Source organism: Homo sapiens, chromosome 16 (assembly GCF_000001405.40).
Source record: "Homo sapiens chromosome 16, GRCh38.p14 Primary Assembly".
NCBI classification, from domain to species: domain Eukaryota; kingdom Metazoa; phylum Chordata; class Mammalia; order Primates; family Hominidae; genus Homo; species Homo sapiens.
The window spans coordinates 57,462,140-57,488,166 of NC_000016.10; the positions used below are offsets into that span (position 1 = coordinate 57,462,140).

Consider the following 26,027-nt stretch of genomic DNA (forward strand, 5'->3'; position numbering starts at 1 on the left):
CCACAGCTACACAGACTGTAGAGGAAGCATTAGGTTAAAGAACATTGTATCTTTTCCTGAAGTTTTCAGAAGTGCATGGTCCATACTTGAGACTGCAAGGGAAAGGGTATTTACTTATAATTCAGGTATACTTTGCTAAAATATACATTCATATTAAAATATACTTTTGTTTTTCTATAGATGTACAAGTTCTTTTTAAGTGCTTCATAGTATTCCATGTGTGTATACTCCACCAGGTCTCTTATCAATGGACAGTACAAACAGTACTACCACGAACGTCCCTGCACTCGTATCTTTGTTTACAACTGCAAGTGTTTCTGCAGTATGAATTCTTAGAAGTGTTACTGTTAAGTGAAGGACGTATGCGTGTTTTGCCAAACTACCCTCCGAGATAGCTGAATCTGGTACATTTTAAAGCAGGAGGCCGCAGAAGACGCTCGGCAGTTCTGGCCTCCGAGCAGCAGGCGGCGCTGTGAGTCGTCTTTGCGGAAGCCGCGGAGGCCTCGCTGACTGACTTCCGGTGTTGGCGGTGGCGCCGCGCAGTCACCGCGGAGCAGACGCGGAGGCTGGTGGCCCCTGGGCGAGATGCCGTACGCCAACCAGCCTACCGTGCGGATCACGGAGCTCACTGACGAGAATGTCAAGTTCATCATCGAGAACACCGACCTGGCGTAAGGCTACCGAGGGAAGAGGCTGGCGGCTCTGGGGCGCCGGGAGGCCCAAGCCGGGGCCCCGGGGCAGGGGGCGGGGGTGTAGTGGGGTGGGGTGGGGGCGATGTCCTTCCAGAGCTGCCCCCCTGCACCAGGGCTTTAGCTTTGGGAGCCTGCGGCGCGGGCCCAGCCTGTCGAGGCTGCAGCGCCTTCACGCCCCTTGGCTTTTGATCTTTCAGGGTGGCCAATTCGATTCGGAGGGTCTTCATCGCTGAGGTTCCCATAATAGGTAAGCGACTCCCCTTCCTCGTTCCCGCGCCCACGGGTTCCTGCCCCGCTCTCCACCCACACACTCTTTGGGGCTCCTTCCAGTCCTTGGTTCGGGCTGAGGGTGGTAGTGCTGAGAAAAGTGCATTGCTGGAGACTTGACCATACCCTGTGCCCTTGGCTCAGTGGCCGCCTCCCTGGCGCCCACGGGCCACTTAGGTCCACCCTTGTCCTGGGTATGCATTGCTGAGAAGCATGGGTTTAGCAGTGTGCAGACTTGGGTTCAAATACTGTTTTCACTACTATTGTTACAAAAGTTTTTAAAATGTTTTCAACTTTTATTTTGGAGTCAAGGGGTACATTGGTGCAGGTTTGTTGCCTGGGTATAGTGCGTGATGCTGAGATTTGGGGTATAAATGATCCTTTCACCCAGGTAGTGAGCATAGTACGCAATAGGTAGTTTTTCACCCCTAGCCCCACTGCCTCCCTTCCAGCTCTAGTAGTCACCAGTGTGTTTATTGTCATCTTTATGTCCGTGCGTACCCAGTTTTAGCTCCCATGCGGTGTTTGGTTTTCTGTTCCTGTGTTAATTCTCTTAGGATAATGGCTTCCAGGCCGCGCTCGCGCCTGTAATTCCAGCACTTTGGGAGGCCAAGACTGAGGAACACCTGAGGCCAGGAGTTTGAGACCAGCCTGGCCAACATGGGGAAAGCCCGCCTCTACTAAAAATGCAAAAATTAGCCAGGTGTGGTGGCTCCCACCTGTAATCCCAGCTACTGGGGAGGCTGAGGCAGAATTGATTGAACCCAGAAGGTGGAGGTTGCAGTGAGCCGAGATCATGCCACTGCACTCTGGCCTGGGCAATAGAGTGAGACTCCTTCTCAAACAAAAGAAAATAAAAAAGAAGATAGTGGCTTCCAGCCACGTCCATGTTGCTGCAGAGGACATGATTTCGTTCGTTCTTATGGCTGCATCACTTACTGCTTTTGTGAAACTTGGGCAAGTTATTAAACTTCTGTGTGCTGCAGTTTCCTCATCTGTAACATTCGGCCACTAATGATCCTTATCAGGGTAATGTTAAGGATTAAGTGAGGTAATCCATATAAGTGCTTTGTGTTTAGTGAGTGCTCAGTGCTGGTAGATGGCTTTTTTATTAATCTATTCCTTCAACAGCATTTATGGAGCATGAAAGTGGCAGGCATGGTGGTAAGCTCTGGGAATGCAAAGCTGTAGAGAACAGGGTTTTTGCCCTCATGGAGTCCACAGTGAGGTTGTAGGGGAGAGATGAATCCACAGACAACACTAAAGCAAGGTAGATTTTGATCAGTAGTTCAGGAGAAGCATAGCTGTGGTGCACTTGGCTCTTAGAGGAGGGAAGATCAATTTCTGGTCTGGTTCCAGCCACTCTGCTCCAGGTGCTTAATGCATTGATTATACTTGTATGAAATACTTCAAGCATTTCTGAGAGTCAGCTCAGAGAGTTTGGATTAGGCAAAATAAATATAAGTCATAGCTGTGGCATCAAATATTCAGACTTTTAAGGAAATAAGCAGGCCAAATGATTAGGCAAGAGAACATTGTAGTTTATCCACTACCACCACCACCCCACCCCCCCGCCCCCCAGTCACTTCTTAAATTCAGCTTGGAGTGCTGGACCTCCCCCTGCCTAAGCACTTCATGCCTCTGGACCTCAGTTTCATCAGGAGTCAGGTGAGGGAGTTGTACTTCATGATGCAGCCCTGCCATTCTGAGTCTAAATGCCTCTTTCCCAACAAATTCAGTTCTACAAATAATATTGAGCACCCATGCTAGGAATACAAAGACATCCCAGGACCTGCGTGAAGGAATTTCTGAAGCTTGAGGTATAGACATAACATACACAAATATGACACAAGGCACACTATGACAAGTGTCTTGAGGGAAGTCTGAACAGAGTTTTGTGAGAGAGGAGTTGAAAGGGAGGGAATGTCACATCTGTAGCATAGAGAGCAGGCAAGGCTTAGTTTTCAGGAGGCACAGAGGATCTTAACCTGTACAGCAAGGAGGGGAAGGGTGTGCTGGAGGGAAGGGCTGGGGGATTAAAGAGGCAGAAAAGCTTGGGTCAGGGTTCTCTCAGTTGGCTTGGACTGGGGAAGCAATGGGAAGCATAGCAGGACAGAGCAGGTGGAGGCCTGGCAGGGGGAGGTCCTCTTCCGACCGCTGTTCCTAGTGTCTGTGTCCCTCGTTTGGCAGTTGGGCTCCAGTGCCATTTGATTCCTGGATTTAGTTGGTTCCATGCAAATGTTTATGAATGAATAAATGTGTGTTTAAGTCAAGCATGTGTGATCGATAATACAGTCTTTACCCTCCTACGAGCTCATTGCTGCTAGGGATTGGGTTCTATATTTAGTATACTTTGCGCATTAAAAGAATTCAGTAAACATTTGTTGATTGAGTGTTTAAAAAGTGCTAAGTTGGGCAGTCCAGTCATTATATCCTAAAATGAGGTATGGCCCCATAAGTCTGTGTTGCTTCTGTGAGGGTTTCCCTGACTTTGAAGTGCTCAAATAGTTCATGTTCTTGGATTTAGTGGTGGCACAGGTAGCAGATTTAAGTGCTTCTCATGCAAATACTCAGCTCAAATAAACATGTTTCCACTTCTATGATATTCTATAAGTCAGTGTTTTCTGTGAAGCAGGGAGCCCCCTGCATTAAATTCACCTGGGCAGGGAGGTGAGGTGTGGTGTGTGTGGGTCTTATTAAAATGCAAGTACCTGGGCCCCACTCTAATGCTGTGGAATCAGCCCAGCAATCTGCAGTTTAGTGTCAGGTGATTCCTAAATCTTGAGAACCACTGCATTAAGTCTGTAGGTAAATTTGATGGCTAAACTCCATGTCTGCTTCTTTCATTTTTTAGCCATTGACTGGGTTCAGATTGATGCCAATTCCTCAGTTCTTCATGATGAATTCATTGCTCACAGGCTTGGTGAGTACTCCTTTTACTAGGAGGTTAAAGGGAGGGTATTGTGCCTAGTGTCAGGAGGGGGCCTCCTTCCAGCCTCACCCCCAGAAGGCTTCTGGGTTCTCATTTTGGCTTGGCTGTTTGGTTTTCTTTAAAGTGCTTTTCTGTTTTTTACAGGATTAATTCCCCTCATTAGTGATGACATTGTGGACAAGCTGCAGTACTCTCGGGTATGTTGTGTGATTGGGTGGAATGTGAGGTTTGGTGGGGAGGCTTTGGTTCTCAAAGGGATTTTTCCTGACATTTGGCATCCAGCTTGAATACTGTTGTAGTTCTGGAACAACAACGTGGAGATGTTGTCTAGAGCCTGGGCAGGCCTTGGTCCTGCGTTCTGATGGGGCTTCAGATTGATTAGCACGCAGAACATCAGGGAGTGTTGTTAGGCAGCTCCACCACAGTGCCCATTTATACTTAGAGTGGAGGTTCTTCCTTCCAAAGCATCTCTTCCCAGTAGCAGGGGCCTTAGGATGCTACAGGAGTCAACAGAAGGTTGGGGTAGGCAAGGAGCAGAGGGAATGGGAGCTGTCTCACAAGAGCAGCTCCTGGGGGACTAGTCCTGGTGTCTGCAGATTCATGCTGTCCCCTCCCTCGCAGGTGATGCTGCTTAAACATGGCCACACTCTTAGTGTCTCACCCCCTTCCTCCTGGTCGTGTTTGCTCCCTGATGGCATGTTAACAGGCCTTCAGAGTTTGGAGAGAGTAGGATAGGAGTCGGTTACCTTCATCCTTTCACTAGGCTGCATTACACAGCAGCTTAAGGCTACTCCCTCTTGATGGCTTTGGGTGATCCAGAATCAGTCCATTTTCTAATATTCTCAAGGGCCATGTCATTTTTGTGATGGCTAATTTGATATATCTTATAAATATGTGTGTATTTTTAAAAAAGAAATATTCAGCTGGATGCAGTGGCTCACACCTGTAATCCCAGCACTTTGGGAGGCCGAGGCGGGTTTATCACGAGGTCAGGAGATCGAGACCATCCTGGCTGACACGGTGAAACCCTGTCTCTACTAAAAATACAAAATATTAGCCGAGCGTGGTCCCGCTCCCAAGTAGTCCCAGCTACTCGGGAGGCTGAGGCAGGAGAATGGCATGAACCCGGGAGGCGGAGCTTGCAGTGAGCCGAGATTGCGCCACTGCACTCCAGCCTGGGTGACAAAGTGAGACTCCGTCTCAAAAAAAAGAAATATTCAAGCACAGAAAAGCATGGAGCTAGTGTAATAAATACTCATGCTTCTACCTAATACTACGTTGTCACATTTTAACATTTTGCCCTATTTGTTTCAGATCTCCAGATTTTTGTTTTTTAATAAATAAAACATAGATATTGGTGGGGACCGTTGTACAACCAATTAAGAGCAATTTGGCGATATCTTACATAAAGATACGCATGCTCTATCACCTAGCAGTTCCTTTCATTAAAATTTTTTCTAGTATTTATTGCACAAAGATGGCATGGTCTGTCTCTCTCTCTCTCTGGCTTTTTCTGAAAATCTGTAGAAAAGTTGAAAAACTAAAATAATACCCTTTACTTTTCACCTATAGTTACCAATTAATATTTTACATTTGCTTTATTTTTCATATGCAAATTGTTATTTTTGCTGAACTGTGTGAAAGTTGCAGACATCCTAACACTTCCAAGTACTTCAGCATGCATTTCCTAATAAGAATAGTTTCCTACATAACTACACTTTCATTGTGCCTAAGAAAGTTAGCATTAATCTGTAATATCAATATTCAGATTTTCCTAGTTTTTCCCCAAATATCCTTTATTGTTTTTCTGTTTGTTTGTGGGTCAGTCTTGATCCAGTGAAGATTCATTTGGTCCTCATAGCACTTTAGTCTCTTTTCATCTCAAACAGACTCCTCTCCTTTCAGTACATTTTTTTTAGGTTAAATACCTTTTCATATTTTTATCTTCCATTACATTTTGATTCTCCCATTTCATATTTCTTTATTTTTCTATTTTTTCAGACAGGTCTCGCTCTGTCACCCAGGCTAGAGTGCAGTGGCATGATCTTGGCTCACTGCGACCTCAGCCTCTGGGCTCAAATGATTCTCCTGCTTCAGCCTCCCAAGTAGCTGGGACTACAGGTGCTGTGCACCACCACACCCAAAAAATACAATTTTTTTGTATTTTTTGTAGAGACAGTCTTGCCATATTGCCCAGGCTAGTCTCGAACTCTTGGGCTCAAGCGATCCTCCCACCTCAGCCTCCCAAAGTGCTGGGATTATAGGCATGAGCCACTGTGCCCAGCCCCATTTCATATTTCTAAAAGTGATTCTGTCTCAAGGGTCTGGGTTGCCTTCCTACCTCACCTGTGTGTGACTGCAGACGACCTAGGTGGGACCTCTAGCTGCTGCTTCTTCCTCAGCATGCAAACATCAAAAGAGTGTTGGGTTTTCCTCACTGGTGTGAGGGAGAGAACAGCTTGCTTGATTGCATCCTAGTAACTGTCTTCTTGCCTGAAGTGAAACTGCAATTAATAGTCCCTAACATGGGAATGAGTCAGTTGTTTTAAGAATGGCAAAATGTTAATAATTATGGAAGGTGGTTGATGGTTATGGGATGGCAGTTTCTTACGTGCTTCTCTATTTGTGTATATGTATGAAATTTTCCATAATAGAAAGGATTTTTTAGAAAAGGTTAGTGTAGAACTTGAAAGGTACTTTTTTCTGTTCCTTGGTGGTTTTATTTTAAATGATGGTTACATTCCCAAGCTGGTCCTCTTAGTTCTTGGGAAGCTGAACTATAGAGTGTGAAAGCATTCTCCTGTGCCTCATAGCCTTGGTTCTCTGAGGAAGAGTAGTTCAAGGGCCAGAGGGAGATGTTAGCAATATGTCCCCAGAGGTGGCCTGGCAGCTGGTGGGAGTGGGAAAGAAATGTGCGTGCCAGTGTATGTATAAGTTGTCTCTAAACTTGGGCAGTCCATGAGAATGGTATACCAGATTGTCACAGCCCACAAGAACCTGGATACTGATGAACCCCTTTTTACAGGTGAAGAAACTTAAGGAACTGGGCATTAGATGCAGGAAGCCAAGACAAGGAGCCAAGGCAGGAGTTGCCATCTCCCTTTGACTCATTCCTGCTTCCCTTCCTGCCTTAGGACTGCACATGTGAGGAGTTCTGCCCCGAGTGCTCGGTGGAGTTCACCCTCGATGTGCGGTGCAATGAAGACCAGACGCGACATGTCACGTCTCGAGACCTCATCTCCAACAGCCCCCGGGTCATTCCGGTCAGTGCGGGAGAGCATCCTCTTTTCCCTGGGATCTTTTCTCTTCTCTGGCTGGCTCCAAGTGGGCCAGACTGGGGTTGATCCTTAGAAAATGTTGGCTTTCCCTGTTACCCTCTGCCTTAATCTGATCCCTAGAAGTGCTAATTCTGGATTCCTCTTGGGCATCGTTAGCATCGTTGGTGCTGCGCACCCTCTATCACCCAGGGACTCTTTTAAAGGCCATGGAATTGTTTTGCCTGAGGCTACCACCACACCCTGAAGTGGGGGTTGGAGTCCTGGGGGCATCTGTGCCACCACCTCGTCAGGTGTTCGTTCCCTGGTTGACAGATTGCAGTCTAGAGGTGCTGGGATATGGATGCCAGAGGAGGTGACTGGGGAGGTGAGCAGCTAATGAATGCCTGGTGGACTCCCTACAGGTGACATCCCGGAACCGAGATAATGACCCCAATGACTACGTGGAGCAGGATGGTAAGTCTTCCTGACCTGTCACCGTGTGGGCCAGCGGGAAGGAGGGACCAGACACAGCCTCTCGTGCTGCCTGGTCTCCTCGAAAATTGGCTTTAGACCGTTTTTCCAGATGTGTGTGGTCTTGCAGTGGCACTCCAAGTCAGAATTTGGAGAAGCATGTCTCTCCTGGCCCTTGACTGACTTGTGCCTCTCCCTGCAGACATCCTCATCGTCAAGTTGAGAAAGGGCCAGGAGCTGAGACTTCGAGCCTATGCCAAAAAGGGCTTTGGCAAGGAGCATGCCAAGTGGAACCCTACTGCAGGGGTGGCTTTTGAATACGATCCAGACAATGCCCTGAGGCACACAGTGTACCCCAAGCCCGAGGAATGGTATGTTCCCCTTAGGAGTGATGGCAGGCATTTGGGGTGGGTGTGGCATAGAAATGGCTGTTGTTGACTGAGATGTGGCAGGCTCTCTAGGAACTTGGGTGCCCCAAAAGGAGCAGTGGCAACCTTGTGCTGACCTGTGTTTGACCTCAGGCCAAAGAGTGAGTACTCGGAGCTGGATGAGGATGAGTCGCAGGCTCCCTATGACCCCAACGGCAAGCCAGAAAGGTAAGAGCCTGGTTGGACATGGGAAGGTGAAGTGTGGAAGAAGGGATGGTTTTGGTTCAGGCCGTGAGTTAGGCATTCCCTCTCCCCCACCTCGCAGTTCTCATAAGCTGAGGAGGGGCTGCTGACTGCTAAACTAGACCTGTGGTATGTGCACATCCCAGGGGCAGGTCGTCAGCCCCTTTTGGTCACTGACAAAGAGGACCCTCCATTTATCCAGGTGGTTCCTGTTCTGATTTTCAGCCCCCAAAGAAGAGATTCTTCAGGTCAACGCTAGGGGCAGAGATTTGGACCCAAGTTCCACAGGGTGACTGTGAAAGGTCTATCACTGGTCACTGCTCACTTGGTTTTCCACTCTCTCCTCAGGGGGCATGCATACATACAGAACTTTAGGATTTTCACAGGTACCTTATGAGGTAGTTGTAGCCTCCTTGAGGTTGTGCAAAGTGTGTTGAAACTACCCTATGTAAGAGGTTTTACATGAAAGGAAGTTAGCCCTGGCCCAAGGTCAAGTTCCATGTGGGAACAGAGCCAAGACCCGGAAGGAGGAAGGGTTGTCCATGGCCAGAGCTCGGGTCGGCCAGCCTGCCTCGCAGTGCACTCACTGGACTCTTGCCTCCTAGGTTTTACTACAATGTGGAGTCCTGTGGCTCTCTGCGTCCTGAAACCATTGTCCTGTCAGCCCTCTCAGGATTGAAGAAGAAACTGAGTGATTTACAAACTCAATTAAGCCACGAGATCCAGAGTGATGTGCTAACCATAAATTAACTGCAGCTTGCCTGCTTCAGCAAAAACGGAGATTCAGGCCAGCAGCTGGATATGGGGGTCTCTCTTCAGACTCTTCTCGTTTCTGAGAATCTAGTCTACTGTTGGTTGAGCTTCTTGGCAGGACATCAGTACCAACTAGAAGTGGGTCATAGATAGATTACCAGGGATGCAGTGGTGTTTAGGCAGGATAGGTCTTTACTGGCCCTGACTGCTGTTAATAATTGGCAGCAGTGCTCCCCAGATCCCAGAAGGTCCCTGCTGGAGTGTTTCCAGTGCACCTGTAGGGAACCAACTAGACTTCTCTCCTGGTTAGTCCAGCTCTTTACTCTAAACCCTTTCTGTCCAAAATGAGTCATTTTCAGTTGTACCTTAGATGTCTGGTGTTGAGGATCAAGTGCCATAGCCTTTATTCAGGGGGCCTATAAACCCTTCCAGTTCTTGCCCCAGGGCTGGCCTGCTAGCGCTTCAAATTCCCAGGTGTCCCTAATTTGAGAAGTAACCTTTTGGAATAGCATTAGACCCTGGCTGTCCCCTCCCCACCAAATAAACATGATATTTCATTCTCTGTCCAGCAGTCATGAACCCCTTCACCTCCAATGACCTGATCATTTAGTTTGGTGGGGGTGGGGGTGGGGGTGGGGGTGGAAGCAGCCGCAGGAGCAAGGGCCCCTCCCACATACACAGGAGGAGTATTTCATTTCTCCTTAATGAAGGCTCTGGCCCTAACCCCTCAGCACTGTCTCCAGATAGGAACATGCACAAAGCAGTTAATTAGGCAGCCTGGAGAAAACCAGAGATCCAGTACAGAAAGGAAAGGATATTTATTGATTAACAGAAGTTGTCTTTTTAAAAGTGTTTATTTTTGGCAATAAAGAGCACAACATAATCTCCTTCATGCGTCATCGTGCCACTTAGCTGAGCCAGCCAGCTCTGCCTCCCTCCCCAAAGACCTTTGGACCCCAGTTCCCCTCTACAGGCTAGCTCATCCCTCTGGGTGGTCATTCCCCGGGTCACGTTGAGAGCGAGGCTGACTGCACCACCTCCCTAGCTCAAGGGCTCCTTTGGGAGGGGCCGCGTGCTTTATCATCCTCCTGCCACAACTCAAATAGTGGTTATTTACAAGAAGGTCTGTTCCCACAAATCAGGACCCTAAAGTATTAAAAAACAAAACCCAAAAAACAACAAAAAACCCCACACAACCAAAAGTTTGACGTGAATAGAAAGATAGCCCTTCTGCATGGTAGTCAACAAATACCAGCACTAGAAAATCAATTGCTTTAATTGCATTGCAGCAGGGAGCCTCAGCACCATGTGGGGAGGAGGAAATGGGAAGGTCTTGGTTTCAGAGTGCTTTTGGCTGGCCAGAGGGTGGCCAAACAGGGCAAGGGGGCTCCCTCTGCTTGGGCATTGTCCACCCCTGGTCAGTGAGAGGGGGGCAGCAGGGGTGCTCCCCACGGCAGTCCTGCTGCGGCCTTCCCTCCTGGCCTATTCCTGGGGCAGGAACAAGCTCCAGCCTTCCTCCACATGGCTGAGGTAATCAGCACCCCTACCCCAGGGGCATCTTCCCAGCCTACAAAGCAGGAAGGAGCCTGTGCAGAAGTTACATTTTAAAACCAGATTTTCACCTGAGGCGTCAACCAGATGTCACCTCTGCTTAAAACTCCAACTGCAAGGCTGGCAAGCAGCACAGAGGAAGTGCAGATCCTTCCTGTGTCACTCCAGGCCCAGAGGAACTGAGAAGCCACCTGCTGTTCCGGCCCTTGGGCTGTCTGGGAAAAGCCAGCAGTCAGAGTGCCAGCCTCAAGCTCTGATTATCCCCCTCCTGTGGCCCTGGTAGTTCAAGCAGGTCCTGGCAGCAGGAGGGCTGTGCCATGGAGGATGGACACGACTGCACTCATACTCAAAAACAGCCTTGACCGTGGCCTGGTCATGGGATTAAAAAATTTGTGTGTATTGGTGGGGAAGGATGGGGTGAGGGTGAGGGGATCTCATTGATACAGAGTATGTCATAAGCCATATATATTAAAATCATTAACAGTATATAGTCCCACGGTAGCTCCAACCCCTCACACATGCTCAGGTGGTGTGGCCAGCCCTTTGCCTCAGTCCAGCCTCATCCTTGGGGGCAAGGAGGGGGCAGCTTGCTCCCTTTCTCCAGGCTCTTGGCCGACAGCCCCCTGAGGCTGTCCACGGTACACTGCAGCCAGCCCCGCAGCAGGCAGCCCCCAGCAGTCATCGGTGCTCGCCAGCACTGTGGTCACTGGGATGGGGTCTTGGCCTCACTGCTGTCCCCCTGGCTGGGCTTTGGCTTTAGCAGGATGAATCTGTTGAGGAGGTCTGTTTCCGAGCTGGCCTGGGCTGCCCCATACCCCTCACCTGTGGGCACAGAAGCAGGCTCAGAACTCAGAGCTAGGTCAAAAGACCCCTGCCCAATAGGCCTCATCCTCCACAAAGCCTCCTGGCAGGTGGGTGTGGGGCATGGAAGCGACTCACCAGCATAGCTGGAGGCTTCGGCGATGTTCTGGGAACCAGTGATGTGGTGCCAGTAGGCACTGCGCGGCAGCATGGTCGTGGGTGTGCAGGGATACGAGTAATGTTCCGTGCCCTTGTTCAGCAGCTGTGGGGCAAAGGAAGGGGTCACTCCCATTAGTGGCTTACAGTATCCCTGAGCAGCCACCCCAAGACCCTACCTGCCTCCACTGTGTACCCCAGGCACTTGGCCCTGCCTGCCCGCCCGTTCCCCCCTCCCCCCGTACCCTGGACTGATGCCCGCTGCCTCACCCTCACGTTCTTCTCCATTTCCAGCAGGACCCGCTTGTGCTGCTCTGCGATGGCCAGGGTGGCACTGTGGACGCGCTGGTAAATCTGCTCCCCCTCTTGTGTCTGGAAGGTATAGAGTCCTTCCCCAGCATCACACATCCTGGGGACACAGCACAGAGGGCAAGATGGTGGGGACCCACCACAGACATGCATGTGATTAGTTAGGCTCTCTTGCAACTGCAAGTTGTGGTTGCATTCCAGGCCGGGAGGACAGGTAGGGCTGTGGTCTGGGGGTCCGACCACACGGTGCAAATGTGCTGAGCATATTCTATACCAGCTGGTGCTTGAAATGCATTATAAGAATTAACCCATTCAGTTTTCTCTACCACCTCCCTCTGGTCTCTGTACCATTAATGGTTTCCTCATTGTTATGCATTTTCCCAAACCATTTTATAGATGAGGAAACTGAGGCATACAGAAGCTAAGTAACTCAACCAAGGTTCTGCAGAGGATTATATGGAATTTCAGTCTAGGCAGACTGACTCCAGAGTTCAAGTGAGGGGATACCCAGTCTTCACTATAATTCTAGGAGGTTAGGTACTTTATTATCCCCGAAACCCAGACTCAGATCCACAGTCACAGAAGTAGTAAGTGCCTGAACCTGCATTTGACTTAAGCCAAAGTAGTATATGATTTTTGGTAAATAGCTTCACTTGACCTGCATGCTGTGGGCAAGTTACTCCTCTAAGCCTCCATTTCATTTCTTCGTCTGTAAAATGGGAACATTACATTCCCCCTTGGGATTGCTAGGCCAATAAGTAAACCAAGCTCCTAGCACAGTGCCCAACACAGAGTGAATGGCAGCCACCATCACACCATAGTAGGACAGGGCTGGGAGGCGAGAGGGTCCTACCGGCCAGCCTCGAAGGTAAAGCGTGTGGCATCCCGGCCATAGCGGCGCAGTGAGCAGAGGGGCCACGAGACGAGCTTCACACGGGGGTTGTGGATGTCCCAGAGGTAGATGTTCTCGTGGGTGATCTGCAGCTTGCACTCGCCATACACGTCCAGGTTGGGGCAGGGCAGCAGGAAGACATTGAAGCGATCTGGAGTGGGGGAGGGTGGACAAGTGGGACCAGAGTTGCCCCAGATGGGGACTTCCTCCCTCCCTTCCTCTCTTCCTCCTCCCCCTCCCCACCCCCAGGGCCAGGGCCCGGCCTCACCTGTCTGTTCACACTGCACCCCTGGGGCCAGGAGGTCAGGTTCTCCCAGACTGATGTCGTTGAGGCGGGACCCCAGACACTCCACAGATAGTGTCTTGTACCACTCCTCTGCCTCTAGCTCTGAAGAAAATGCTACTTCATCATGCAGCTCCAGAGCCCGGTAGCCCACCCCGTCTGCCCAGCCTGACTTATGCCACCATGCACAGCAGGGAGGGTAAGGACAGTGGGTTCTGCCTGCCTGTCTTGCCTCAACCCTGAGGGCCTGCTCCCTGAAAGCACCCCCAACCCCACACACACCACACCACCATCTCCACCCAGGGTTAGCCCTGCTCTGCCCGCTCCTAGCTGGACCTCTGACCAAGACCACCCCAGGGGAGGCAGATGGAGGCCCATACTCGCGCCTCACCTGAGTCGCAGGTGAAGGTACGTGCCGAGTCATCAGTGAATATGATGGCCACCGCCTGCCGCTTGGTCTCCTTGGGGAGCCGCGTAACACACTTGACGTTGCTGATCTCAGTCACCTGGGACAGCATCCACAAGGGACTTAGCCAGGCCAGTGCATCTCTCTCTCTCTCTCTCTCTCTCTCTCTCTCTCTCCCTCCCTCCCTCTCTCCCCCCTCCTCCTTCTCTCTCCTCCTCTCCCTCTCTCCCCCTTTCTCCCCTCTCTCCCTCTCTCCCCTCTCTCCCTCTCTCTCTCTCCATCCCCCACAGCCCTGCCACTTGGGGGAGCTAGGGCCCAGGCCTCCTAACCTTGGGGCAGCCCCGGAGGCACACCGACTTCTCATCTGGATACTTCTCCAGCCGCTGGGGCCCCTTGCTGGAGGATTTCCGGAACACCAGCCAGCACCTCCGGTAGATCTGTGGAGCGAGATGACAGGGCTCAGGCCTCCCTGGACCACTCCCACCCCACCAGCATGGCCCTGCAGCCACCCCTGCCTGCCACAGGGGGCGGTGCCGCACAGCCTTCCCTGGAGCCCCAGCCTGGGGACACCGGGGGTGGGAGTCACCAGCAGTGTCACCTCCCTGGGAGAGAAGCCTCCTCCCCAAATTGAAAAGTCATTGACTTCTTGGCTGGCTCCAAAACGCTGTTCCACAAAGGGTGCTCTCCTGACCTGCCATGTACTGTGTGCACCGCTGAGTTTAGTGTGAGTAGCCAACGTTCCTGAGTGCTTCCTGCTCACACCTGTTATTAGCACTGTGCACAGTCTCAGGGCCACTCCTGAGATCAGTTCTGTTATCATCCCCATTTTATAGATGGGGAAAGGGAGGCATCAAAACACTAAGGAATGGTGATGCTGGTATTTGCAGCAGGCTGTCTAGATCCAGGGCAGACCCTCACAGCCCACTGCAGGATCTGGCCAGGGCTCAGGCAGTGCCAGCCACAACAGAGGGGTCTCCTGGGGATAGGGATTAGACCCTTCCCCCTGCCCACCTGTACATCCCCGTGCCCCTAGTTCTCTGAGTCAGGTGAGGGTCTTTACAAAGGTAACCCCCACTCTTGTCTCCTGGGGCTTTCACTCACCCTCTCTTTTCATTCTCTTACCAACCCTGAAATGTAAGGGGCCCTGCTCCAGCTGGGAACCCAAAGCTGTTTGAGGTAAAGGGGTGGAGCTAGGAATCTGAGGCTCCTCCCACAGCATGGTGCCTTCCCTCCTGGCCCTGGCCACTGCTGATGCCCCTGTACCTTAAACTACCTACATTCTCTGTAGCTTCAGGGACTCCCCCAAGGGGGTGGGGAGCAGAGGGGAGTGACCACTCTAGGATTGAAGGGACAGACTGGCCTATCATTCATGGGTGGTGGAGAGGGAGTTGGCCCCAGCCACCAGCCAGAGCTGCCCTTGCATGACCCCTCCCTCCTGCCTAGACTTTTTTCTGCCCAAAGTCTGTGGCTGGGGTTTACCTACTCCTTCCAGCGGGCATTCCAAAAGCCCGACAGAGCCTGTTCCCCAGGCATCTCTGGTGTTCCTCTTACTGGAAACAGTAGGGAGACTGAGTGGTGGCCGAGAGCACAGCAGAGGAGGCCAGGGGGCCTCTAGGCCCCACCCCTCCTCGGCCCTACTGTGCCATGCGTACACTAGGTCCTTGGCAGGCAGGGTCCCAGGGTGCAGTGGCCCTAGGCAGCCCCCATTTCAAGATACCACTCAGAGCCAGGCCATTTCTGGCTCCTATCTGGGACCCTAGGAGGCATGTCTGCTCCTGCACCCCTGACCCTGGCTTGGCCCCTGTCCTACCCACCTAAACCACAGCAGCCCTCAGCTCTCAGCTGCAGCGCTCCCTTAAGACAGACACTGAATTTTATCCACAGAATCCTCACTCATATCCTGGTAGCCTCATTAACAGCCATGCTAAACAAGTGAATGACCATATGAAGGAACCGTGAATGAATGGATGGATGAATGGATGGATGCTGCCGACCCAGATACACCCTGCCAGGGTGGGCTCCATGCAGCCCGCAGCATCAGGGGCAGAAGGCCTGGGGGCCTGAGCATGCCGGTTGCCTGGTTACAGGATACACATTCACAGCCCCAGGGAGCCACGCGCTCAAGAGCCCTCCTTCCCACTTCGCACAGGGCTTTGATCAGTGCTTCAGAAACACTCTGCCACAGCTCTGCCGCGGGAGAAAGGCCCTGGCAGGTAGGAGAGCCGGCTCCTGATCTCTTTCAGCCCCTCCCCCCTCACCTCTGTGGGCTGAGATGAGAATGGCTGCTGGGGAGGGACCACAGCCTCTCACACCAGGGGAAGTGAGGCTCCTGGCTTCAGAGGGAAGAGAATTCCCTGCATGGATAGGGCCTGGCTATGCCCCACCTCCCCATCCAGGCTGTGCCCACCTGTCAGCCACTCAGTCTCCCTCTGGAACAGGTTTGATACTGAGCCCAAGTGGCTGCCCTTGTGGCTGGTGCCTTCCTGGCACACTCTGCCCTGGGCAAGGCCTCAGCCCAGCTGGCCCCTGGGGACCTGCTAAGTCTGGGGCCATAGGAATGAGAAGTGATGTTAGAAGCGAAGCCTCTGCTTCCTTGGCCTCCCTACCTCAGCCTCAGCTTCTCTCTTTGTTCTGTGCTCCAAGTCAGTGGGCTGATCCCCCTTTCAGAGGAAGAGCAAAGTAGCCGATGGCTGCCAGGGCCCAGTCTCAACTAGGTTGAGCCCCAGGGCAGGGAGGCACAGGAGGGGAAGTGGGGCCAGAACCACCTTCTCCAAGACCAGCCCTGCTCTGTCTGGTACCCAGGTAGGGAAGCTGGGTGGCAGATCCCTCTCCCACTCCGCATGCCCCCCAACCCCACTCAGGCTGAGCCAGGGATCCTTGAGCAGCCTGAGCCGACCCGCCCCCTTCAAGGCAATGGGAGAGAGAAGGGAGAAGGGGACAGGAGTCCTGGGTCAAACACAAGACTTGGGTGACCTCAGTCACCAGGGCTGTCCTTCCTACAGGGGAAGGGGCAACTGCCAGACCTGTCTTTGGCAGGGGGGCCTGGCAGAGGAATAGAGGCAGCTCTCAGACAGCCTCGCCGAGATCATGAAGTTGATCCCCTCTGCTCCTGTCTTCTAGGGGGTCTTCACCAGTTGGGGGTCTACAGAGGGTAGGACAGGATGCATGCCCAGTAAGACCTCTTCTCTGTAGCCCCTCCAAGCCCCCAGTTCAGGGCCAAGCACCAAGCAAGCACAGAGTCACCCACCAACAACTTGGAGGGAAGCAGCCTGTCCCAGAGCACTGGACCATTCTGCCCAAAGTTCTCATTTGGAAACCACATAAATATCAGCTTCAGTGCCTCACACCACCCCGTCTCGCCCAGCCAACCACTCCCCTTTTCAAACACTTCTTTAACATTAAACTCGACAACCAAAAATTTACTAAATATCTGCACACGGAAAGCAGTCAGAAGCAAGGGGAGAGGATGACCTAAAAGAAAAGAGGCCAGGAGAGGTGAGGGGAGGCCGGGGGTGGGGGGCAAACGGAAGGGAGAGGAGGCCAGGGGAAGTGAGACGCTGCTTCTCAGCTCAGACACAGCCCGGCCTTGCCAGCCGCCCCTGCTGCTGCTGTGGTGACAACTTCAACAATAGCAGGGGAGCCGCCTGCCCATCGGTGGCCACCATTGCTGCCACTACCACCACCACTGGCCCAGCTGTTGGGATGCCAGCCAGCCCTCTGGGGCGGGGGCTGCAGCAGGCAGAACCCAGCCCAGGCACATGCCAGGCAGCACGCTGGCGAGGAGCCCCGAGACCACAGATGCACGATGCCCGGCAGCCGGAGGGCAGCCGCGTGCCCCACGCGCCATGCCTCCAAGCCTGGGACCGAGTCCTCGGGCCCCCATCCCTTGGCAGGGCCCCTCCGCAGCTCAGGGTCACTCACCCCGAGCTTCCTGCTCTTCATCTTCACGTAGCCTTGCTTGACGATGTCACTGAAATTGGTCGCCATGGTTTTCCCACCTTTTAGGGGCGCGGGGCCTGGCAGAGGCGAGGGGAAGGATGCCCAGGTGCCTGGGTCTCCGGCTCCTCCAATCACCTGTTCCAGACACTCTGTCGGGGCTGCCGCGAGGGGCTGCTCCTCACCTCACCCGCCTCAGCATTGTTCTAGCAGCTCCTTCGCCCCGCGCCTGCTGGAAATAAAAATGACAGGGAGATTAGAGACAGTGACATCTTTCTCTTCCTCTCGCTGTCTCGCTCTCTTTTTTCCTTCCTCTTCCCACACTCCTCCTCTCTCCCTCTTCCCTCCCTCCTTCCTCCCGCCCTTCTTCCTTCCCTTCCCTCCCCACCCCAGGACGACAGAACCATTCAGGAAAACCGAGGTGGAGGCGGCAGTGAGGAAAATGGTCCAGCCCAGTCCCCTCCCTCACGGCTGGGGCTGGCAGTTAACCCCTTCCTGGGAGGACTGGCTCTGGCTCCTACTGTGGAGGTGGGGACCCAGGAAGGGAAGTGGCAGGGAGCTGCTGTCCCTCAGCACTTTGGGATCGTGGCCCCATCAACTGTGATAACTCTGGTGCAAATTTAGGTCAACTTGCCAAGAGCAAAAGCCCCTTCCTGGGTACAAGAGCTCCCAGGGGTAGCAGGGAAGCGCTTCCCAGAGATGGAGGAGGAGGGTCGCAGGAGATGACCCCTGCGTGTCTGAGTGAACCCCATGCTCTGCAATGTTAAAGACAATTTGCCTGGTCAGCTCAGCAGCCCCCACAAACCCCTCTACCCTCCTGCCCCACCCGGTCCTCTACCTGTTTCTCTCCAGCCCCAGGCTAAGAATCACTACCTCGAGCTCACGCAGGGCCTGTTCCCAGGCCCTGCAACTCTTCCGCACGCAGCTCTGGGTGCTGCTTCCTGGGTGGGAGGGCAGAGTCCAGTGGGGCGGGCCTCCAGATAAGCCTGAGGAATGTGCTGGGCCGGCTGGAGGTAGCCACTGTGGGAGCAGACGCCTTGCCCTGGCCCTGGGGTTGGGAACGCTGGCCAGTCCGTGAGGGTGGGGCCCGGGCCCCAACAGGCCACTGGGTCTGGCCAAGCCAAGCAGGCCCTCCATGTCCTGAGCATGGGCAGGAGTTAATTATAGGAGTACCAGTCAGGGCCCTGGGGCAACAAGACATGCAGGAGACAATGTGGGATACCAAGGGGAGGTAGATATGGAGCAGGAAGTGGGAGTACCAGCAGAGCCACCCCAAATCAGGCAGATCTACAGACAACAAAGACTCAGACTCAGGGGGAGGCTCAGTGTTGACCCAGTCTAACCCCTTCATTTTATAGATGGAGAAAGAAAAGTTGCCCAGAGAGGGTAAGCTACATGACTAAGGTCACACAGCAGGCCTGGGGCAGAGCCAGGGATGAAGGAGAAGGTCCAGGGTGGTGATGGAGACCAGTCTGTGGGGGGAACATCCTGCTGCCGTCTCTGGCTGCCTGCCACCACCTAAGCCTTCCCTGCCATCCATCCTCGGGGGCAGGGTTATGCCAGCAATGTGGCCCCTGTGTCTTCAGGATCAGCGGGTGGGAACGGAGCAGCATTTCTGGGGTCAGCTGGGTATCTGTGCTGCCAGAACGGGGCCCTGGGACAGGCATGCTGCTGGTTGTGCCAGCAGCTTGGCATTAATTAATGTCCTGGAGGCCTGTCTGTTGAGTGCCTAACAAGGAACAGATGGGACTACCCCAGTGGGCACACGCACAGATGGGACTACCCCAGTGGGCACACGCAAACAAGGGAGGGGCAGAGACGGTAATGCGCCCCTATCCCACTTGCACCCTGATAGCCCCTCAATTCCACTCCTGCCCATTCACTGCCTCTATCCCAGCTCCCTGGGGTCCAAGAACCTCCCACAGTTAGGCAGTCTACATTCCTCCTATAAGGTCTGGTCTGGGGTCCCCTCACTGGCAACTGATCCCCAACAGCTCTGCTACACCTGGGCTCTGGCAGCCAGAGATGGGTCAATTTTCTCAGCTCTGTCTTCACCGCCTGCCTCTGGGGCTGCCTTCTCCTCAGAGCAAGGACCAGCTCAGGAGTTCCTCTCCAAGATGATTAGCAGGCTGACCACTGGCTGTGGGTCTACAGTGTGGAAGCCCCCAGTCAGAACACGCCTACAGGAAGCCACTGGACCCCCAGGTTCATCCAACATAGCTCAGACATAGCACAGCCCGGAGTGTGAATCCAGCTGGCTGTGTGGTCCTGGGCAAGCCGCTTAAGACCCTGTGCCTTAATTTCCCCATTGGAAAAAAATGAGAATAAATCTACCTACTTTAAATGAGGAAATGAATTCATGAGGCACCTGCTTGCCCACTTGGGACACAGAGCTTCTACCCTTTTTCTTTTTCTTTTTCTTTTTTGAGACGGAGTCTCCCTCTGTCGCCCAGGCTGGAGTGCAGCGGCGCGATCTCGGCTCACTGCAACCTCTGCCTCCTGGGTTCACGCCATTCTCCTGCCTCGGCTTCCCGAGTAGCTGGAACTACAGGCTCCCACCACCATGCTCGGCTAATTTTCGGTATTTTTAGTAGAGACGGGGTTTCACCGTGTTAGCCAGGATGGTCTCGATCTCCTGACCTCATGATCCGCCCGCCTCGGCCTCCCAAAGTGCTGGGATTACAGGCGTGAGCCACTGCGCCCGGCCTTCTTTTTCTTCTTTTGAGACAGTGTCCTGCTCTGTCACCCAGGCTGGAGTGCAGGGGTGCCATCACGGCTTACGGCAGCCTCAACCACCCAGGCTCAAGTGATCCACCCACCTCAGCCTCCTGAATAGCTGGGACCGCAGGTACATACCACCATGCCCAGCTAATTTTTAAAAACTTGTTTGTAGAGATGGGGCTTTTGTTTTTTTTTTTTTTTTTTTTTGAGACGGAGTCTCACTCTATTGCCCAGGCTGGAGTGCAGTGGCCCAATCTCGGCTCATTGCAAGCTCCGCCTCCCGGGTTCACGCCATTCTCCTTCCTCAGCCTCCCGAGTAGCTGGGACTACAGGAGCCCACCACCATACCCGGCTAATTGTTTCATATTTTTAGTAAAGACGGGGTTTCACCGTGTTAGCCAGGATGGTCTCGATCTCCTGACCTTGTGATCCACCCGCCTCGGCCTTCCAACGTTCTGGGATTACAGGCGTGAGCCACTGCGCCCGGCCCCTAGAGATGGGTTTTCACCATGTTGCCCAGGCTGGTCTTGAACTCCTGGGGTCAAGTGATCCACAAGGCTCGGCCTCCCTGAGTGCTGAGATTACAGGTGTGAGCAACTGCGCCTGGCCAGAGCTTCTGCCTTGAAAACTCCAAGGGCTGTGTGTATGTATATATATATAGTTTTCTTCAAGAGTTGCTGCCCAGACAGGGCGGTGAAACCACCAGAAGCCAGCCTGCTCCTTCCCAGTGTTGCCCCACCAGGGACTGTGGCCCCAAGCTCGCAGGAGTGCTCCTGCTGCGTCTGTCCATAGGCCCCACCCCGTCCCATACCCCAGGTCCCCAGCGGGAAGAGTGACCTTCACGGGGAAGGCTGGGTGCCAAAGTCCTGCCAGCTCACTCCGGCCCTGAGTCACAGGGACCCCTGGCCACACTTAGTCCCTAATGATGTTTGCAAGAGCAAGACCTAACCTAGGACCCAAAATGGTGGGCAAAGAGGGGTTCGGAAGGGGAGGGAAAGGTCAGGGCCAATAGGTGGACCCACAAATTTGACAGGCAGTGGGGTCAAGTGGTGAGGGGGGGGCCCAGAACCAACCCACCATCCTCCAGAAGGAATGCACTGTGTTAAGCAAGCGAGGCGGCCCCCAAGCTGAGCCTGTGAAGGCCCAATAGGACAGCAAGAAGTGGAGAGCAGACCAGGCACAGTGGCTCACACCTGTAATCCCAACACTTTGGGAGGCCAAAGTGGGAGGATCACTTGGGGCCAGGAGTTCAAGACCAGATCCGGCAACATAGAGAGACCCCGTCTCTACAAAAAATGAAAAAATAAGCTGGGCATGTGGCACGTGCCTGTAGTCACAGCTACTGGGGAGGCCGAGGTGGGAGGATCACTTGAGCTCAGGAATTCCAGGTAGCAGTGAGCTATGATCAAGCCACTGCACTCCAGCCTGGGTGATAGAGTGAGACTGTTTCTAAAAAATTTCAAAAAAATCAATTAAAAAAATACAAAAATTGGAGGGCAGCTGAGGCTAGGCAGGCCAGGAATTGGGTTGAAGTAGCCCCTGCCCTGTTTGTCCCTCAGGCCCTTGTCCCCAACAGGCCTGCAGCAGGAAGAATGCTTGCTACTTTGAGAGGACCTGAGGTCTTGGGTCCTTCCCCAGCACTGTGAGCTCCGAGCTCCCAGCTAAGCACGGTGTCCAGCAGTCGCTCTCAGGGTTCCAGTGAGGGAGGAGGGGAGCAAGGGCCCCCCGCATCCCACCTCCCAGCCTGGTACCAATACTGCTGCTTACCCAGGGACAGTACCTGCCTGGTGCCAGGCCACCACAGGTTTCCGCGCAGGGAGAGCCAGCTCCAAAATGCTCCTCTCCCCAGGAAGGGCTGGTGTCCTGGGGTGGCGGGGAGTAGGGAGACTCCCAGGGCCCTCACTGCCCACCTGCCCCACAGGGCAGCCATGCTGAGCACTCCCTCTCGCACATGGATTCTGCCTGGAGGCTTTGGCTCCAGAACAAACGCGCTGAGGCTGGCAACCAATGACTGAGCGAGCGGCTGCCTGCCTGGCTGGGCCTCCCCACCCCTGACAGATCGGATCTTATCAGGGCTGCAGGAACAGCCCTACCTGGACACCATCTCAGTGTCGTCTGGCTGTCTCGATCCAACGGCGAAGATTGGATCTGTGGGATTCTCTCCAGCACCAGAGCCATTTCCCATCACCTGCTGCTCTGCCCCCACCCCACCCCAAGATTGTTGTCAGAGGCCGGCTGGGAGTGCTCCCAACAGATCCCCATAGGGGCCACCGGCCAAAACATGGTGAGTCCCATCAAGGTGGATGGCAAAGACAGACCAAATACCCATCTAGGCAGACAGGGACGGCAGAAGGAGGGGACATCTGAACAGCCATGGTCCCCCAGACCCTTAAGCCAGGAGAGTAATGCTGTGGCCCCGTACCACTCTGGTTCTCCTGGGTCCCCTGCCCACCCCTCAACATGCCAAAACCCCTCCCTCGAGGGACCACTGCACTAGCTGTTTCCCACCTACAACATTGTTCCCTCACATGCTCATGGTTCATTCCATTGCTTCATCCACCTCCTCCAGGAGGCCTTCCCTGACTACCCTCACCAAAGGACCCCCACTAGTCAGCCTCTCTCACAACATCAGATGCGGCTGTCTTCATCGCACATCACCATGGGATTTTCTTGTTCTTACATCTGTCCATTTGTTTCTGGCCACAGAGAGACATCTGGAATGTCAGCTCCCTGGTGGCTCGGCCTCGTCTGTCTAGTTAACAGCTCTATCCCAGCTCCCAGAATGGTGCCCGGTGGGAAGGAGATGCTCAATATTTGGGGGCTGAACACGTAATTCTCTCCAGGACTTGTCCTCCTCCCCATCCTTTCTTCCACCACCACCAGCCTCCATCTGGCTGGACCTGGCTCAGCTTCCAGAGGTGCGTGAGCCACAGTGGGCTCCCAGCTCCTGGGTCTCAGCGCTGACTGGCATGGCCAGCAGGCTGTTGTTACTGGAGAACCAGCTGTGCCCAAGACCCGCAGTTTGGTTCAGAGCTGCCTCAGGGAAGAGCATGCTGCTGACATCGAGGCCAGGCCTAGTTGGGCGGCCCCACCTTGGCCAGGGTTGTGGGGTGAGGTCATGCCCAGCCCTGCTGCCCTGCCCAGGAGGGAAGTGCTGGGAGTAACCAGTACCAGCACAGCAAGGCAAGCAACTGGGGAGAGGAGGCACAGCTCCTGGGATCAGAGTTGGGGGTGGGGGCAGGAAGAGCCTGTACCAGCGCCACATCCCTCTGAAAGGGTCCAGGAAAGAACCTGCCCTAAGCAAGCCCACCTCACACTGCCCAAGTGGAGTCTCCTAGAGATACTGCCAGGCCCCTCGCTGCCCTGGCCATCAGACCCCTCCAACCCACACCCTCCATCCAAGCGGAAGCGCCCCAGCAACTGACGTGTCCCCATGGCTTGGGGCAGGCAGGCTGCACAGAGCCCCTGCTCTGCCACATCACCCAGGTGCCCAGCCTCGGCTCATGCCCCTTTTCAGTAATAGAAAGCATGTAACTGGATCTAGGGCCTTGCGGGCCCTGGGGGAGAAGGTGGACAGGACCTTGGGGGCCAATGGAGAAAGGTTCAAGGACAGGAGGCAGCTGGCCATGAGTTTGGGCTGTGGGGAGAAACCCCATAGGCAGGAGGGGGTCGGCAGTGGGGGCCAGCTGGGGTACAGAAAATCATCTCTTGGAATTTGGAGGAGGTGAGCGAACAGGAGGCCCCGGGGAGGAGCAGGAAGGCAGAGAGAAGGTTGGGAGCTGCCAGGGGCTGGGTTATGCCCCTTCCGGGGGGGCAGGCCCGGGAGCGCAGGGCCTGGGTTGCTCGGATGAGGTTTGTGTGGGTGCGGGTGAGGTCAGCTCGCGACCTGGGCTCCCCCGGAGAGGAAAGCTGCGGGTGGAGAGAGCGCAGGGAGTTTCAGGGCCCAGGCACTGGCTTTTGGGGGGCGGGTCTCTAAGCTCCCCACCCGAGAGTAGGAAGGTCCCATGGGACGGAGCGTCCTCAGGTTCAGGAAGTGACTGAGGGTCCTCAGGGGTGGGAGTCGCCGAGACTCTTGCAGGCTCTGGGCGGCCTATGTCCCCCTCCCTGCCTCACGCCCCCCAATTTACCTGGGCGCCGAGGCCCGGGCCAGGAGCGCCTGCTCAGCGGCGCCGCGGAGCAGGCTCATGCCCGCGTCACGGCGCGGCTGGCGGGGGCGGCAGGGCGGCGGCGGCGCCGGGCTCCAGGCGGGGACGGCGAGGGAGGCGCGGCCGCAGGGCTAGGGATCGGGCTCCGGCTGGGGCTCCGGCTGGGACTCCGCTCCGCTCCCCCCTCCGCCAGGTCTCGCCGCTGCGCCCCGCCCCCTGCCCCGCCCTGGCGGCCGGCCCCCGCCGTATTCCTCCGAGCCGCGGGACGCGCGATTCTGCCCTGGCGCCCTGGCACCCCCGCACCCGCTTCAGGTCGCCCCCGGTACCCCCAGCTCATTCCCACCGCCCCTCCCTGGGCCCCAAAGCCCACATGGCCTCTCAGCCCCTGAAAGCTGAACTCCACATCAGCTCCCAGCCCCCACATCTCAACCCCTTCACTTCTTCAGGAATCACATACACACCCATACGCCACATCAGCTCCCAGCCCCCATATCTCAATTCCTTCACTTCTTCAGGAATCACATACACACCCATTGCTCCCCTAACCCCATCATGACTCTCTGGGCCCTCACAGCCCAGCTCTCCCAGCCCCACAGTGACCTCCTCTGCTACCCCTCCTCAAGTAGCCGCACCAGCACCTCTGTCTTCCCTGGTCTCCTCTCCACCCTCAAAACATCCAGTTCTCCCATTCTAGGTCCCCCTGAGACTTTGCCCTCAAGCTCAAACTTCATTCCCCTTCATTGCTGCCCCCACCCAGCCCCCAACCCCCTCACCTCTGCCCTTCGGGCCTGTGCAGTGGTTGACTCACTGATCTGTCGGAATCCCCAGTCACAGGCCTCAGCTGTGCCAGGCAGGGACAAGAGAAGTTGCCCAGTGCCTCCTCTGGGGAGGAGCTGTCCCCCCTCTGGTTTTCACGTCTGTACCTTTTTACACCAGGGCTTCTCAAAGTGTAGTCCCTGGACCAGAAGCTTCCCATCACCTTGAAACTTGTTAGAAATGCAAATTCCCTGCCCTACTCAGACCTATGAAATCAGAATTTTTGGGGGTTTCCAGCAGAAATGTGTGTTTTAACAGGCCAGGTGATTCTGATGCACACGAATGTGTGAGAACCACTGCTTTAGACCATATATACAAAACAAAACAATAGGCCACCTGAACAGCCAAAATCCTGAGAAATGAAAATACCTCCACATCCAGCTACTGTCCAGGTGTCTCAGAGGAATAGGCCTAAAGCAGTGAGGGACCAAGGATCCCAACACCCACCCATGGAATGCATGCCCCTGCCCCGGAGACGCCTGGGCCTCAGCCTTGCCCAGGGAGCTTAAAAGGAGGCTGCCTCTGGATGTCTGAAAATTTCCCTGATGGTCATTGTGGTGTCTGTGATCAGCCTGAGCTAACCAGCCCCAGGCCCATGGCCAAGCTAGCCTGGGCCTCAACCTCCTGACCTCCCTATGCGTCTTTCAAACTTGACCTCACCTGCTTTGCTTCAAACCACAGCCCCTAAAGCTCCCAGCACTTGATTCATCATAGCAAACTGTTTTTCAACACCAGAAACCTCTAGGGGAGCTTTGGCCAACAACAACAACACAAATGAATTTTCACAATAAAAAGCCTTCTTTTTTTGTTACTGAGGCTGGAGTGCAGTGGTGTGATCTCAGCTCACTGCAACCTCTGCCTCGGGGCTTAAGTGATCCTCCCTGCTCAGGCTCCTCAGTAGCTGGGTCTACAGGTGTGCACCACCACGCCTAGCTAATTTTTTGGATTTTTTTGTAGAGACAGGGTTTCACCATGCTGCCCAGGCTGGTCACAAACTCCTGAGCTCAAGCAATCCACCTGCTTCGGCC

The 26,027-nt window shown here is 54.2% G+C and overlaps 2 protein-coding genes across 19 annotated transcripts, besides 7 other annotated features; one reads left to right on the top strand and one right to left on the bottom strand.

The window, feature by feature from the left end:
- Positions 398 to 692: an enhancer, noted in NCBI's record as "tiled region #83; HepG2 Activating DNase unmatched - State 1:Tss, and K562 Activating non-DNase unmatched - State 1:Tss". NCBI's record gives its function as "activates a minimal TATA promoter and a strong SV40 promoter by Sharpr-MPRA in HepG2 and K562 cells {active_cell/tissue: HepG2 | K562}" and the evidence as "EXISTENCE:reporter gene assay evidence [ECO:0000049][PMID:27701403]".
- POLR2C (RNA polymerase II subunit C) lies at positions 540 to 9,870 on the top strand. Its single transcript, NM_032940.3, has 9 exons — positions 540 to 671; positions 890 to 939; positions 3,814 to 3,882; positions 4,036 to 4,088; positions 7,026 to 7,154; positions 7,571 to 7,622; positions 7,822 to 7,990; positions 8,141 to 8,215; positions 8,836 to 9,870. Exons 1-9 carry the CDS (start codon positions 586 to 588, stop codon positions 8,978 to 8,980), a joined length of 828 nt encoding a protein of 275 aa, NP_116558.1. The 5' UTR covers positions 540 to 585; the 3' UTR covers positions 8,981 to 9,870.
- DOK4 (docking protein 4) lies at positions 9,783 to 25,183 on the bottom strand. Of its 18 annotated transcripts, none has more exons than NM_001394657.1 (9): positions 24,957 to 25,183; positions 17,303 to 17,546; positions 13,711 to 13,818; positions 13,367 to 13,481; positions 12,961 to 13,080; positions 12,654 to 12,843; positions 11,762 to 11,900; positions 11,474 to 11,597; positions 9,783 to 11,356 (listed from the first exon to the last, which is right to left on the bottom strand). In NM_001394657.1, the coding sequence occupies exons 2-9, from the start codon at positions 17,366 to 17,368 to the stop codon at positions 11,238 to 11,240; spliced, it is 981 nt and encodes a 326-aa protein (NP_001381586.1). In that variant the 5' UTR covers positions 17,369 to 17,546; positions 24,957 to 25,183; the 3' UTR covers positions 9,783 to 11,237. The 18 variants fall into 18 exon arrangements, with proteins under 18 accessions (NP_001381586.1, NP_001381587.1, NP_001381590.1 ...); NM_001394658.1 differs by having other exon boundaries at positions 17,303 to 17,549; NM_001394661.1 differs by lacking the exon at positions 24,957 to 25,183 and adding an exon at positions 24,166 to 24,354.
- Positions 10,851 to 11,372: an enhancer, noted in NCBI's record as "NANOG-H3K27ac-H3K4me1 hESC enhancer chr16:57506902-57507423 (GRCh37/hg19 assembly coordinates)". NCBI's record gives its function as "activates a minimal SCP1, AML or CMV promoter by ChIP-STARR-seq in primed H9 embryonic stem cells {active_cell/tissue: H9 hESC(primed)}" and the evidence as "EXISTENCE:reporter gene assay evidence [ECO:0000049][PMID:30033119]".
- Positions 11,373 to 11,893: an enhancer, noted in NCBI's record as "H3K4me1 hESC enhancer chr16:57507424-57507944 (GRCh37/hg19 assembly coordinates)". NCBI's record gives its function as "activates a minimal SCP1, AML or CMV promoter by ChIP-STARR-seq in primed H9 embryonic stem cells {active_cell/tissue: H9 hESC(primed)}" and the evidence as "EXISTENCE:reporter gene assay evidence [ECO:0000049][PMID:30033119]".
- Positions 12,559 to 13,347: an enhancer, noted in NCBI's record as "H3K27ac-H3K4me1 hESC enhancer chr16:57508610-57509398 (GRCh37/hg19 assembly coordinates)". NCBI's record gives its function as "activates a minimal SCP1, AML or CMV promoter by ChIP-STARR-seq in naive H9 embryonic stem cells {active_cell/tissue: H9 hESC(naive)}" and the evidence as "EXISTENCE:reporter gene assay evidence [ECO:0000049][PMID:30033119]".
- Positions 23,607 to 24,403: an enhancer, noted in NCBI's record as "H3K4me1 hESC enhancer chr16:57519658-57520454 (GRCh37/hg19 assembly coordinates)". NCBI's record gives its function as "activates a minimal SCP1, AML or CMV promoter by ChIP-STARR-seq in naive H9 embryonic stem cells {active_cell/tissue: H9 hESC(naive)}" and the evidence as "EXISTENCE:reporter gene assay evidence [ECO:0000049][PMID:30033119]".
- Positions 23,607 to 24,534: a biological region, named in NCBI's record as "H3K4me1 hESC enhancer GRCh37_chr16:57519658-57520454".
- Positions 24,235 to 24,534: a silencer, noted in NCBI's record as "silent region_7530". NCBI's record gives its function as "represses an Ori minimal core promoter by ATAC-STARR-seq in GM12878 lymphoblastoid cells {active_cell/tissue: GM12878}" and the evidence as "EXISTENCE:reporter gene assay evidence [ECO:0000049][PMID:35858748]".
- Positions 25,184 to 26,027: the final 844 nt, after the last annotated feature.

Excerpts from the sequence above, each read along its gene's own strand:
- POLR2C (NM_032940.3), top strand. The coding sequence starts at position 586 with ATGCCGTACGCCAACCAGCCTACCGTGCGGATCACGGAGCTCACTGAC. Across the intron at positions 940-3,813 it reads CGCTGAGGTTCCCATAATAG|CCATTGACTGGGTTCAGATT; the intron begins GTAAGCGACTCC and ends TTCATTTTTTAG. Across the intron at positions 7,155-7,570 it reads ACAGCCCCCGGGTCATTCCG|GTGACATCCCGGAACCGAGA; the intron begins GTCAGTGCGGGA and ends GACTCCCTACAG.
- DOK4 (NM_001394653.1), bottom strand. The coding sequence starts at position 17,368 with ATGGCGACCAATTTCAGTGACATCGTCAAGCAAGGCTACGTGAAGATG. Across the intron at positions 13,819-17,302 it reads TGAAGAGCAGGAAGCTCGGG|ATCTACCGGAGGTGCTGGCT; the intron begins GTGAGTGACCCT and ends CTCGCTCCACAG. Across the intron at positions 12,844-12,960 it reads GGTGCAGTGTGAACAGACAG|ATCGCTTCAATGTCTTCCTG; the intron begins GTGAGGCCGGGC and ends CCCCCACTCCAG.